Here is a 12,033-nt window from a genome sequence, read left to right as displayed (position 1 = left end):
ATCCTATTACATCAATAAAAAATGCATTTAGATAGGGCAGGGGGAGGGGTGCAAGGTATTTATGTTTTACATAAAGTGGTACAATGTTAGCTCGAACTAGACTGTGAAAAAATAAAGATGTATATGAACAGTCCTTATGGCAACCACATTATTAATTCAAAGAGGTATAGCTAAGTAAATACCAATAGGTTAACTTAAAATGAAATTCATAACGATAGGAAGGAGGTAGAGTAACAAGAAAGGAAATTTTGAAAGTATTTCAAACTGAAAGATAATAAAAATACAACATACCAAAATTTGTAGGATGTAGCCCAAGCAGTGCTACAGGGAAAGTTACAGCTTTAAGTGTTTATTTTAGAAACTAACAAAGACGGCTGGGCACGGTGGCTCACGCCTGTAATCCCAGCACTTTGGGAGGCCGAGGTGGGTGGATCACCTGAAGTCAGGAGTTTGAGACCAAGCTGGCTAGCATGGTGAAACCCCACCTCTACTAAAAATGCAAAAATTAGCCAGGTGCGGTGGCATGCACCTGTAGTCCCAGCTACTCGGGAGGCTGAGGCAGGAGAATCGCTTGAACCTGGGAGGCAGAGGCTGCAGTGAGCCAAGATCGTGCCACTTCACTCCAGCCAGAGTGACTCTGTCTCCAAAAAGAAACTAACAAAGACTACAATCAGTGACCTAGGTTCTATTAGAAGAAGCTAGAGAAAGAAGAGCAAAGTAAATCCAAATTTAGTAGAAGCCAATGAAATGGGAAAAAGAGAAACTAAGAAAATATTCCAACAAATGTGATGAATGAAATGGACAAATTCCTTGAACAAGTGGATCTGGTACTACTTACAACTTAGGGTAAACTAATTTCAAATTCTACTTCTGGGGCCTTAAAAAAAAAAGAACCCAGAGCAGCAACAAAAACTCAGAAAATGTTATTTAAAAAGAAAAAGAATATTGTCTACAAAAATTATAAAGTGCCTAGGGATAAACTTAACAAAGATATAAGCTCTTTATGTTGAGAAATATAAAACTTTATTGAAAGATTTTTAAAAACTTAAATAGTTATATTCTTGAACAGGAAATGAGCTTGGTATTGTAAAGATAATAATTCTTCCCAAATTGATCTATAATCTCAATGCAATTATAACCAAAATTCCAAAAGGGTAACTAAATGTTACAGAGGATGCTATTATGGAAGAACAAAGGGCCAAGTATAGTTGACACACTCCTAAAGAACAAGATGTCAAAGACTGCTCTCAAAACTTTGATCATCTTGATGGTGGTTATGGTTTCACAGGTGTATGAATGTCAAATTGTACACTTTATATGCACATTATTGTGTGTCATTTAGACCTAGGTAAAGCTGTTTTAAAAACAAAAACAAAAAAAAGCCCGGCAAAACAAGCCTGGGCAACATAGTGAGACCTTGTTGCTACTAAAAATAAAAAATTAGCTGGGTGTGGTGGCACAAGCCATGGGCCCAGCTACTTGGGAGGCTGAGGCAGGAGGATTGCTTGAGGCCAGGAAGTTGAAGCTGCAGTGAGCAGTGATCACGCCACTACATTCCAGCCTGGGCAACAGAGCAAGACCTGGTCTCAGAAAATATATTAAGCTGGGTGTGGTGGCTCATGCCTGTAATCCCAACACTTTGGGAGGCCAGGGCAGGCAGATTGTTTGAGTTCAGGACTTTGAGACAAGTCTGGGCAACGTGGCAAAACCCTGGCTCTACAAAAAAATTTTAAAAATTAGCTGGGTGTGGTGATGTACACCTGTAGTCTCAGCTACTCAGGAGGCTGAGGTGGGAGGACTGCTTGCCCCTGAGAGGTCAGGGCTGCAGTGAGCTGTAATCATATCACTGCTCTCCAGCCAGGGCAACAGAGCAAGCCCCGTTTCAAAAAAAAAAAAAAAAAAGTTATTTAGCAATATACATACAGACATACAAATGGAAGAGTTAAAAAGCAAAGGAATGATTAACTCAACATGTAAAACGGTAATTACCGGGAGTGAGGGAAAGGGAAGGGTATGTGCCAGTGGGGAAGGGACGCATAGGGAGCTTGTCATGTTCTAGTATAGGTAGTATTCTATTTCTGAAACAGAATGCTGTATGTCTTACTATCATTCTTTTAACTACATGTGTATTTTATACAACCTTTTGCATATATGATAAGTTTCACAATTTTGAAAAAATGAGCGTTTGTAAAGAGGAACACAAAAGAACCAACCATTAGCTAAACTTATTATTTTGGGGGTACTCAAAACCTTTCAAACAGCACTTGATGACTACGATTAAGATCTTTCCTGCTGATTTAAAAATGGCAAAACTCTTCCTCTGTTTGAGACAGACGGGTTTTCAATTTATTTTTTTTTTTTTGGAGACAGGGTCTCACACTGTCACCCAGGCTGGAAGTACAGTGGTGCAATCTTGGCCTCTGCCTCCAGGGTTCAAGCGATCCTCCCACCTCAGCCTCCCTGGGACTACAGGTGCAAGGCACCACCTCTGGCTAATTTTTGTATTTTCTGTAGAGATGGGGTTTCACCATGTTGGCCAGGCTGGTATGGAACTCCTGGGCTCAGGTGATCTGTGCACCTCATCTTCCCAAAAGTGCTGGGATTAAAGACGTGAGCCACCGCACCCGGCCGGTTACCAATTTCAAACAAGAAAAGTAAAAACCAAACAGAAAAGCTATTGCTTACTACCCTAACTTGGTACATTTCTGTGCTTGTTAATAACTAATAATTAACTTGTCCTCTCACAACCACCTTGAGATGCAGGGGTACAGGGTAAATTAGTACTGAGATAGTACCTAGCACTAAAATAGAATTATCTTTCTTGCACACTTTTTCTACAGAGGATGATAGTTTTTCCCTTCAAAGCACTGGTAATAGTCTTATTTTCTTCCTTCCATTTCTGCTTACTTGGTTACTGTCTTTATCAAACTATTAAAATAGTAAATACGACCAGATGCGGTGGCTCACACCTATAAACCAAGCACTTTGGGAGGCCCAGACAGGAGATCGCTTGAGCTCAGTGGGGCCCGGCTGCAGTGAGCCGTGATGGCACCACTGCACTCCCGCCTAGGTGGCCGAGAGAGACCCTGTCTCAAACAAAATAAAAAATAAAAATAATAAAATAGTAAATATACTGCAATTGTCTCCACCTCACTTCACCTGACAACACTATTTTGCTGTAATGGCCATAGAATCTTGATCTGACCACCGCCCATAGTAAGCAGGGAACTCAGCCTTCCAACATTAATTAAGAGCCCAACAATTTTAGGTTTCAGTTAGAAAGGACAGCTGCGCTTCAGGCTTGGTTCTTGCCAACTACTCAGCTATTTTGGATGAGCTGCACATTTTGTCTGTAACTTCCTCCATAAGTTTTTAATCAAGAGATCTTCCAGGAATGTAGGGCCTGCTTCACCTTCCACAGCAGCTGCGCAAAACATGCAAAACATACACTTCGATTTGTGTTTTCTGTTAGCTTTAGCTACTTCCCTCAGCCCAGACTCCCTTCAGTCTTTTGTTTTGAATAACAACCTACTGTGAAGCTTCTTAAACACTAGTTTTATTTAAAGCTTGTATTATCCTTTTCCTTTTTTTTTTTTTTTTTTTTGAGACGGCATCTCGCTCTGTTGCCCAGGCTGCAGTGTAGTGGTGCGATCTCTGGCTCACTACAGCCTCCACCTCCCAGGCTCAAGTGAATCTTCCTCCTCAGCCTCCCGAGTAGCTGGGACCACAGGGGCAGGCCAACAAGCCTGGCCTATTTTTGATTTTTTGTAGAGACGAGGTCTTGCTATGTTGCCCAGGATAGTCTGGAACTCTATTATAATCTTTGTCTTAATCTCATGGAGACGCCCCCGTGGTCACTGACTGGAGGAAGGAAATACACATTTTAAAGGTTTTAAATTTCCTATAGAAGGGTCTAGAACGTACCGCGCTATAACGAACATAGTAGTAAGACCACCGCCACACTCCTGAGGAAACAAGGTCACGCCCCTCTGCGGGCCGCTTGATCGGGTCTTTAATTAATCCCGCCGCGGCCTTCCCGCCTACCCCCGAGCGCGCACTTCCGGTCGCGAGGGCGCTCGGGAGCGCGCCCCGCGAGCCTCCACCAACCAGCGGCTCCGCCTGGCCAGACAGAGTGCGCGCGCGCACGTTGTGCGCAGGTTCGAATCTCCGCCGCTTCGCGGTTGCTTCTCAACGTCCGGGCCGCATCTCGGCGGCGGCGAGGGCTGAGCGCGGGAGCTGCCTCCGAGCCGGAGCCCCAGCCCTAGGCCCTGCGCGAGCTGCCCCGCCCTACCCCCTCCAGCGTCCTGTCGCCTCCTCGCCCGACTTCGGCCTGTCCCTCTCTCACGCGCTCAGTCCTCGCTCTTCGCCCCCCGCAGCTATCGGCACTCGGTCTCCCGCGCCTGGCGGGCTCCGCCCGAGCCTCTGGGCCCATGGCCAAGCGGCGTGCGGCCGAGCCGGTGACGTTCCACGTGCCTTGGAAGCGGCTCCTGCTTTGCGACTTCGCTGAGCAGCCGCCGCCACCGCCTCTCTGGATCCGGCCGCCCGGGGTCGCGCATGCTGGGCAGCTCCTCGGCGTCCCAGAGCAGCACCGAAAGCGCAAAATCGACGCAGGGACCATGGCAGAGCCCTCGGCTTCGCCCAGCAAGCGCCGTGACAGCGGGGACAACAGCGCCCCGAGCGGCCAGGAGCGTGAGGACCACGGTCTGGAGACAGGCGATCCGCCGCTGCCGCCGCCGCCCGTACTGCCGGGGCCGGGGGAGGAGCTCCCGGGCGCCCGGCTCCCGGGGGGCGGTGGCGACGACGGGGCGGGGCGCGCAGGACCCCCGCGGGGAGACTGGGGGGTCGCATCGCGCCAGGTAGGGGCTGGGGGCGGGTGGGCTGAGGGGCGAAGGGGCTTGCCTTTTCCCCACACACACAAAACGCCCCGGTTCCCACTCATGACTTGTGTAGGTTAAGACGCCTGAGGGGGTTGAAAGAAGGGGTCACCGCTCCGGGAGAGGACGCCGACCGCCAGAAGCACACCCCGAGAGTCCGATGGGCAGAAAGCACTGGGCTGGGCGAGGGGGAAACAGACCGTGGTCGGGAGCGATAGAAGTGGCCTTGCGGCGTCAGCGCCGCGCTCCGTAAAAGGGAAACGGGACCGTGGGTCGTGGCGGGCTGTGAGCATGGCGAGAACGCAGACCGTCAGGGCATAGGTTCAGCCCAAAGACAAACGACAGATAAAGGTGTAGAGGGCCTTCCTGGGTTTAACGATGATTAGTCTAGAATTCGGGATAGAGTTCTTTTTCTAGAGGGAGACCAGTGTGGTAGCCATTGATTAATTGAACGTCCTACCGGCTGGTACAGCTTCTGGAGAAAAGGATGGACCACCGTACCTTGGTCAAAGCTTTGTTTTAACTCATAGTGTTAAATCTGATCCTAGGCAAAAGTATCATTGAAAATTAATTTGGGGGCGGGGCGTGGTGTCTCACGCCTGGAATCCCAGGACTTTGGGAGGCCACGGCGGGTGGATCACCTGAGGTCGGGAGTTCGAGACCAGCCTGGCCAATAGGGTGAAACTCTGTCTCTATTAAAACACAAAAACTAGCTGGGTGTGGTGGTGTATGCCCGTAATCACAGCTACTCGGGAGGCTGAGGCACAAGAATCACTTTAACCTGGGAGATGGCGGTTGCAGTGAGCTGAGATTGGGCCAGTGCACTCCAGCCTGGGCCACAGAGTGAGACGCTGTCTCAAAAAAAAAGAAAAGAAAAGAAAGAAAAAAGAAAATTAATTTGGGCCTTAAGGCGTATATGAGAATCATTGGCGGGTTTTTATTCAAGACATGAGCCTGCCTCATCTCTGCATGTAAGAATCCTGAGAAGATCTAGGTATGCCTCGGTTTGCCTAGATCTCTGCTGCCCGGCCGCTAGCCGGTAAGAACACTTGAAACGTGACTAGTCCAAATGGAAATGTGCTCTAAGTTTAAAATATACACGAAATTTCGTGGATTTAATAAATGAAGATAAAATAGCTCAATTTTATATTGATTACACATGAAATAACTTGGCTATATTGAAGAAAATATATTAAAATTAATACCAGAAGTTTCTTTTACTTTTTAAATACAGCTACTAGAAAATTTTAAATTATGTTTTTGGAGCATTATATATTTATTGGACAGCTTTGGTCTAGACTTAGGAATTCATACTACTTTTTCACAATCCTGAATGGCAGGGGACTTGGGAGATGAAGAACCAAGTACAGGTTTCTCAGAATTCACCAAATTCTCTTCAGCTGTCTGATAGCATCCTCCCAACGTTTTTCTATTTTCTCAAGTATCTTATGTCAGGGTTTTCAAATACCTTTCCAAAAAAATAAATGAAATTTCTTAGGCATGACTTGTTCATGTGAAAAATCCAATAAAATAACGAGAGTTTTATAGTTGGGAAAGACTTTTTTTTTTTTTTTCCTATGGTTGAAACATGAGCCTTATTTAAACTTTTTCTTCAGATTGCTCTCAGATATTCAAAATCAACTGAAAACAGATGGATAGTCTTCTAAACCATCCATCCATAATGGATATGGAGATTAGGGACTGTGTAGTTTGAAAACTTTTTGAAAGCTCTTCAGACCATTTTAGTACTCCACTCATGCATAGGCTTGTCTCCTACCAGAATACAGAATACACTGTCTATACTATGCCACACAGTGATAAGAGGGAAATATGGAAATGGCAGTAGGCAAAGCGTAAGAGTTCTCTAGTAGCCTGAAACGGTGATGCTTGCTTAGTCTTAGACTCAACTCTTTTCCCCCACAGCAGTAACTAGATCTGGCAGCTCTCTACTTCCTATAGTCGCTGCAAGCGCATGACAGGGAAAAAGGTTGGCTCCAGGGGTTCTTTCTTCACCAAGACTACCCTTGTTCTCTTTGTTGTTTTTTAAAAAAGGGTCTTGGGGTCTCGCTCCCATGCCCAGGCTGGAGTGCAGTGGCACCATCCCAGCTCACTGCAACCTTAGCTTCCTGAATAGTTGGGACTGCAGGTGCACACCACCACGCTGGACTAATTTTTTTTTTTTTGTGGAGATGGGGTTTTGCCATGTTACCCAGGCTGGGCTCAAGTGATCCTCCCGCCTCTGCCTACCAAATAGCTGGGATTACAGGCGTGAGCCACTGTCAGGCCCTCTTTTGAGGAAAGCCCAGTAACACTCCTATTCCTTCTTTTTGTTAGATTTGTTCTGGAGGCGCTTCTCTTTTACAATCATGCTCTCTCCAGCTTCTGTTTCTCCTTCCTGCCTCCAAAGACACAGGCTTTTTGTTTTAAGGATTTTATACCTGATTACCAAGGGAAAATTGAATATAACAAAAAGAAGTAAACAGTTCAATACAGTAAATGCCTGGTTTCTTTTGTGCTCAGAATAGGGCTTAAGTCCCAGCCCTCACCCTTGGGACTTCATTTAGGAAATACTACCTCAAATACCTTTTTTCTACATTGAGAATACAATCTAGGCAGGATAATGTTACGTCATTTCTGTCCCGGAACTTCAGGGTATTTCCTGTTTCAGATGTTTTTTGACTACAGAAATAAAATCAGGTATTCATTAAATATTCATGTATTTTTTTCATGTTAGTGTCACTATGTAGATTCACTGCTCTGTCAGTGTTAACTGTTAGTTTCTTGTTTATTTGTTTGTTTTTCATAAATTGAGATGGAGTCTTGCTTTGTTGCCAGGGCTGGTCTCAAACTCTGGGGCTCAAGCGATCCTTCTGCCTCCCAAAGTGCTGGGATTACAGGTGTAATCATGCCCAGCCAACTGTTAGATATTCTTAACAGAAAGTAAGCAGAAATGCTCTAAGGAGACAGTGATTAATGATTCATAGGCTTATTGGGATATAATACCTAGCAATATTGAGCAATTACTATGCCAAGCCTGAATTTTTACAACAGTCCTCCATTTTATCAATAAGGTCAAGATCAGAGTTAGTGGGCGGTGGAGTTATCTTGCAAACCCAGGTCTGTCTGGTGGCAAAGTTTGTGTGCCCTTAGTCACTATGTTTTACTAACATAATTAAAAGACCTTTTTTTGGTCCATGTTTATAAGTAGATAATTTGTACAGTAGATTTTCCAAAATATTAAAGTGAAATTTTTCTTAATATCTTTTGACTTATTGTGTGTTTATCCCAATATTAAGAAATTCCCCCAAAACTTAATTCTTTAAGGCTCAGCATAGAAGACAGTGAACTTCCTAATGAGACTTTCTTACAGACCTGTGCTGTCCAGCACAGTAGCCACTAGGTCATGTGGCTACTGAGCATTGATTTTTTTTTTATCTTTAATAAAATGATCAGTTTAACATTTTCTTGCTATTCGTCATGTTTATAACCTAATACTTTTTGGAAGATTTCAAAATATTTTGGCCTATGTAAAGTAAATCTCCTAAAATACCAGACCTTAAGAACAAGACCAAAAGTAAGTTATAAGGAGTGTGTCTGTGTTTGTATTTTTAAAATAAATTCTTCTTTTCCTTCTTGAAAGATAAAAAATTTTAAGACTTTTTAGATAATTTTCTTTAGGTGAAAAATGGGAGAAAAACTGTGGAAAGAGATGCTCTTGGAGGAAATTCCTTTAAATTTAACAAATACTTTCACAAATTGTAAATATTAAAATGCACAGATTTCATCGAGTACATGAAGTACTTAGATGAGACAAAATTTAAAATGTATATTTGTTAAAAATACAAAATAGAAGATTACAAAATCTTATATGAGTTTGCCTTTAAAACAAATTTGTTTTCTGAAAAAAACTTAATTTTTTCTAAGCTATTGATGCTCTTTGATCTCTCTTTTTTCTCTAAAGCACAATGAAGAATTTTGGCAGTATAATACCTTCCAGTACTGGAGGAATCCTTTGCCTCCTATTGATCTGGCAGACATTGAAGATTTAAGTGAAGACACCCTGACAGAAGCAACACTTCAGGGCAGGAATGAAGGGGCTGAGGTTGACATGGAGTCCTGATGTAAGGAGCCGAAGCAGTGGGATTGGCTGATTTGAGGAGATGTCTCTAAGTGAATTCTCGTATTCTTAAGGGAAAAGTTATTTTCCATACTTGAAGTTATATTTCCAAACCTGAGAAATGAAGAAAGATTGTTCTGACATTAAATACCTACAGTTACTACTGAACCTCTTAATAAGGATTTGTCAAGGATAGAGTACAGTTGTAGGGGAAGTATTTTATGTATGCATTCTTAGAGCAAAAAGTTTTGTTTAAATTCTAGAATTGAAGGTACTGATCTTATAAAAAGAAATTCTAGCAGTTTTAGAAATAGGTGGGAAAAACTCAAATATTCCTCCTATCTGCACCAAAAAGTTTATTTGTGGTATATAAAATGAATATTGTTTTATAATAACTTGTTAATAAAGTACTTTCTAATACATTCTATTGACTCTGTTAGTTGAACAAATAGCTGACTTGAACATCTATGCAAACTTAAGATGGGCGGGATTGTTGTAAAAGCTATTGTTTTAAAAGAGCTTTCTAAATGTAAAGTAGTGATAATTTCAATTTGGGTAGCGTGTTTGCAAAGCTTCCAATATTTGATGTTGGTTAAGCTCTACTATGGGCAACTGAAGATGGATAAAGAAAAATGAAAACTGAATCGGTGCCTGCTTCCCCCTGTTTTCCCAGGATTAGAGGAAAAAATTTATTGTATAATCAGCTTCTTGGTTTTGAATTGCTTCGAGGCATGGTTTTATTCCTTATTACTTTAGACCTGTAGTTTTCAACACTGACAGCACTTTAAAAATCTTTGCCTGGGCCTCACTCTTGAGAGATTCTCATTTAATAGTTCTGAGGTGGGTCTTGGATATAACTATTTTTTTAAACACCTGTCCTGTTTCCCTCCATTCCTCTCATGTGCAGACAGGGTTGAGAACCAGTAGACTAATGGTCGTTTTTCCTGTTTAAAGGAGATAACTAATTTGAGCTGAAGCAATGCTTCTTAATTAGCTTTGTTTTTGTTTTGCTCTGTTGGTGGCTTTGTTACAACTGAATTATTGTGTTATTACTATTTCATTGTTAAAGAAATAAAGTAAGCAATTTGTGATGTGAGTATCAGTGATTAAGTTAACTAACTTTTGTACTGCATCCAGAATGTTGGTTTTGCAATTGAGTAACTGGTTCTTGCTTGCATTTTTTGTTGTTGATGACATTAGATCCAAAATTCAAGACAAATGGTAAATGCCATTGAGAGGGAAAGAGAAAAACTTGATTTTTTTTGTGTAATGAAGGATTTAAGAATGGGTTGACATTAATAAGAATGCTTTAGAACAGAAGACAAACTGTATTGCATTGTGGTCAGACATGGTTCAAAGTCTTGTACTGCCACTTCCTACCTATGTATCTTTAAGCCAGTTATTTTTCATCTCCAAGCCTCAAATTTCTCACCTGTAAAATGAGAAATAATAAATAGTATCTACCTCAGAGAGACTGTTTATTGTCAAGCAATGTTATAAGTACTTTACTTGCATCATCTTGTTTAGTTCTCATAATAACCTTAAGGTAGGTTAAAAAAAATCATTAGAATAAACATGCTGCCTATAGTTAAAGTTTTAACTGCCTCTAGAAGTTTCAGGATAGAAATTGGAATTGAAACTTTCAGCTTATGATATTTTCAACTTACGATGGGTTTATCAGGACATAACCCCATGGTTAGTTAAATGTACTAAATTTATATCACTTTCACACTGTGGTAAAGCTGAAAAATCCTGTCAAACCATCAAGTCAGGGGCAGTCTATATATAGAAAACAGAAAGAGTTAAAATAATTCCGTCCTTTAAAAAAGTTGTTTACTAAGTAAACTTGAGGTAACAGCAAAATTTCATTGTGGATAAATTGAGGTAAAATGTGGGTTTTTAAATGTGTTATAACCCTTCACCCCAATTCCCTAATGTAACATCTTAAATTACCACAGTACACTTATGAAAATCAGGAAATTAACATTGATAAAATTCTCTTGTGTGATTTTGAGGACATGGAAAGAATGACTTCAGACAACTCTTAGAGGATATATGTCAAAAACCTAAAACAATTATAAAATGTATGGACTATTCGACTTTCACCATTGTCCTATTCTTTTTCTAGCCCAGCGTCAAATTCAGGTTCACATGTTATATTTAGTTATAATATCTCCTTAGTCGTCTTTAATCTAAAAACAGAATTTCTTTGCTTTTCATGACCTAGGTACCTTTTGAAGAGCACTGCTCAGGTATTTCATAGGATAGCCCTCGATTTTGGTTTGTCTGATATTTCTTAAAAATATGCCTTTTGGTAAGAACTCCATGGAAGTGATGTTGATGTATCAGTGCATCATGTCAACAGGCACAAGAATCTCAGCTTGTCTGATCAGTAATCATAACATTGATTACTTGGTTAAGATGGTGTCTGCCAGGTTTCTCTTTTGTAAAGTTACTGTTTTCCCTTTTGTAATTAATTATTACCTTCTGGGAAAATATTTTGAGACAGTAAATACTCCATTTCTTATACTCTGCCCACAAATTTTAGGATTGATGAGTCTTGCCTTACTGCCTTACTGCTCTGGTATATGTCAAATGGTAATTTCCTATTTTTTTTTTAATTTAGAAAAATAGCTTACTTAAAAATTATATAACTACCTGACAGATCTCTATAATGCTTTCTCTCCTTACCTATTTTGGCTGATTACTCTCTAATTATCTTTTCATAGGATGATAATTTTGTAATATCTTTGTCTATAGGAGTATAGAAAGATACTCTATTCTGGCCGGGTGTGGTGGCTCATGCCTGTAATCCCAGCACTTTGGGAGGCTGAGGCAGGTGGATCGCCTGAGGTCAGGAGTTTGAGACCAGCCTGACTAATATGGTGAAACCCCGTTTCTACTAAAAACTCAAAAATTAGCCAGATGTGGTGGTGTGTGCCTGTAGTCTCAGCTACTTGGGAGGCTGAGGCAGGAGAATTGCTTGAACCCGGGAGGTAGAGGTTGCAGTGAGCTGAGATTGTGCCACTGCACCTCAACATG

The 12,033-nt window shown here is 41.7% G+C and overlaps 1 protein-coding gene and 1 long non-coding RNA gene across 2 annotated transcripts in view, besides 3 other annotated features; one reads left to right on the top strand and one right to left on the bottom strand.

The window, feature by feature from the left end:
• The window catches only part of CARNMT1-AS1 (CARNMT1 antisense RNA 1), a 44,418-nt gene extending 40,341 nt beyond the window's left edge, over window positions 1-4,077 (bottom strand). Inside the window, exon 1 of the long non-coding RNA NR_121183.1 lies at window positions 3,925-4,077. This is a non-coding gene — a long non-coding RNA (CARNMT1 antisense RNA 1). The remainder of the gene's footprint in view (window positions 1-3,924) is intronic.
• Window positions 4,130-10,459, top strand: C9orf40 (chromosome 9 open reading frame 40). The gene is made up of 2 exons (NM_017998.3): window positions 4,130-4,856; window positions 8,836-10,459. The coding sequence occupies exons 1-2, from the start codon at window positions 4,431-4,433 to the stop codon at window positions 8,992-8,994; spliced, it is 585 nt and encodes a 194-aa protein (NP_060468.2). The 5' UTR covers window positions 4,130-4,430; the 3' UTR covers window positions 8,995-10,459.
• Window positions 4,149-4,358: a silencer, noted in NCBI's record as "silent region_19952". NCBI's record gives its function as "represses an Ori minimal core promoter by ATAC-STARR-seq in GM12878 lymphoblastoid cells {active_cell/tissue: GM12878}" and the evidence as "EXISTENCE:reporter gene assay evidence [ECO:0000049][PMID:35858748]".
• Window positions 4,629-4,838: a silencer, noted in NCBI's record as "silent region_19951". NCBI's record gives its function as "represses an Ori minimal core promoter by ATAC-STARR-seq in GM12878 lymphoblastoid cells {active_cell/tissue: GM12878}" and the evidence as "EXISTENCE:reporter gene assay evidence [ECO:0000049][PMID:35858748]".
• Window positions 5,169-5,238: an enhancer, noted in NCBI's record as "active region_28468". NCBI's record gives its function as "activates an Ori minimal core promoter by ATAC-STARR-seq in GM12878 lymphoblastoid cells {active_cell/tissue: GM12878}" and the evidence as "EXISTENCE:reporter gene assay evidence [ECO:0000049][PMID:35858748]".
• Window positions 10,460-12,033: the final 1,574 nt, after the last annotated feature.

Source organism: Homo sapiens, chromosome 9, assembly GCF_000001405.40.
Source record: "Homo sapiens chromosome 9, GRCh38.p14 Primary Assembly".
NCBI lineage: Eukaryota > Metazoa > Chordata > Mammalia > Primates > Hominidae > Homo > Homo sapiens.
Note: the sequence above shows the minus strand (reverse complement) of the source record. Positions and strands in the feature narration are given on the sequence as shown.

Excerpts from the sequence above, each read along its gene's own strand:
- C9orf40 (NM_017998.3), top strand. The coding sequence starts at position 4,431 with ATGGCCAAGCGGCGTGCGGCCGAGCCGGTGACGTTCCACGTGCCTTGG. Across the intron at positions 4,857-8,835 it reads GGGGGGTCGCATCGCGCCAG|CACAATGAAGAATTTTGGCA; the intron begins GTAGGGGCTGGG and ends TTTTCTCTAAAG.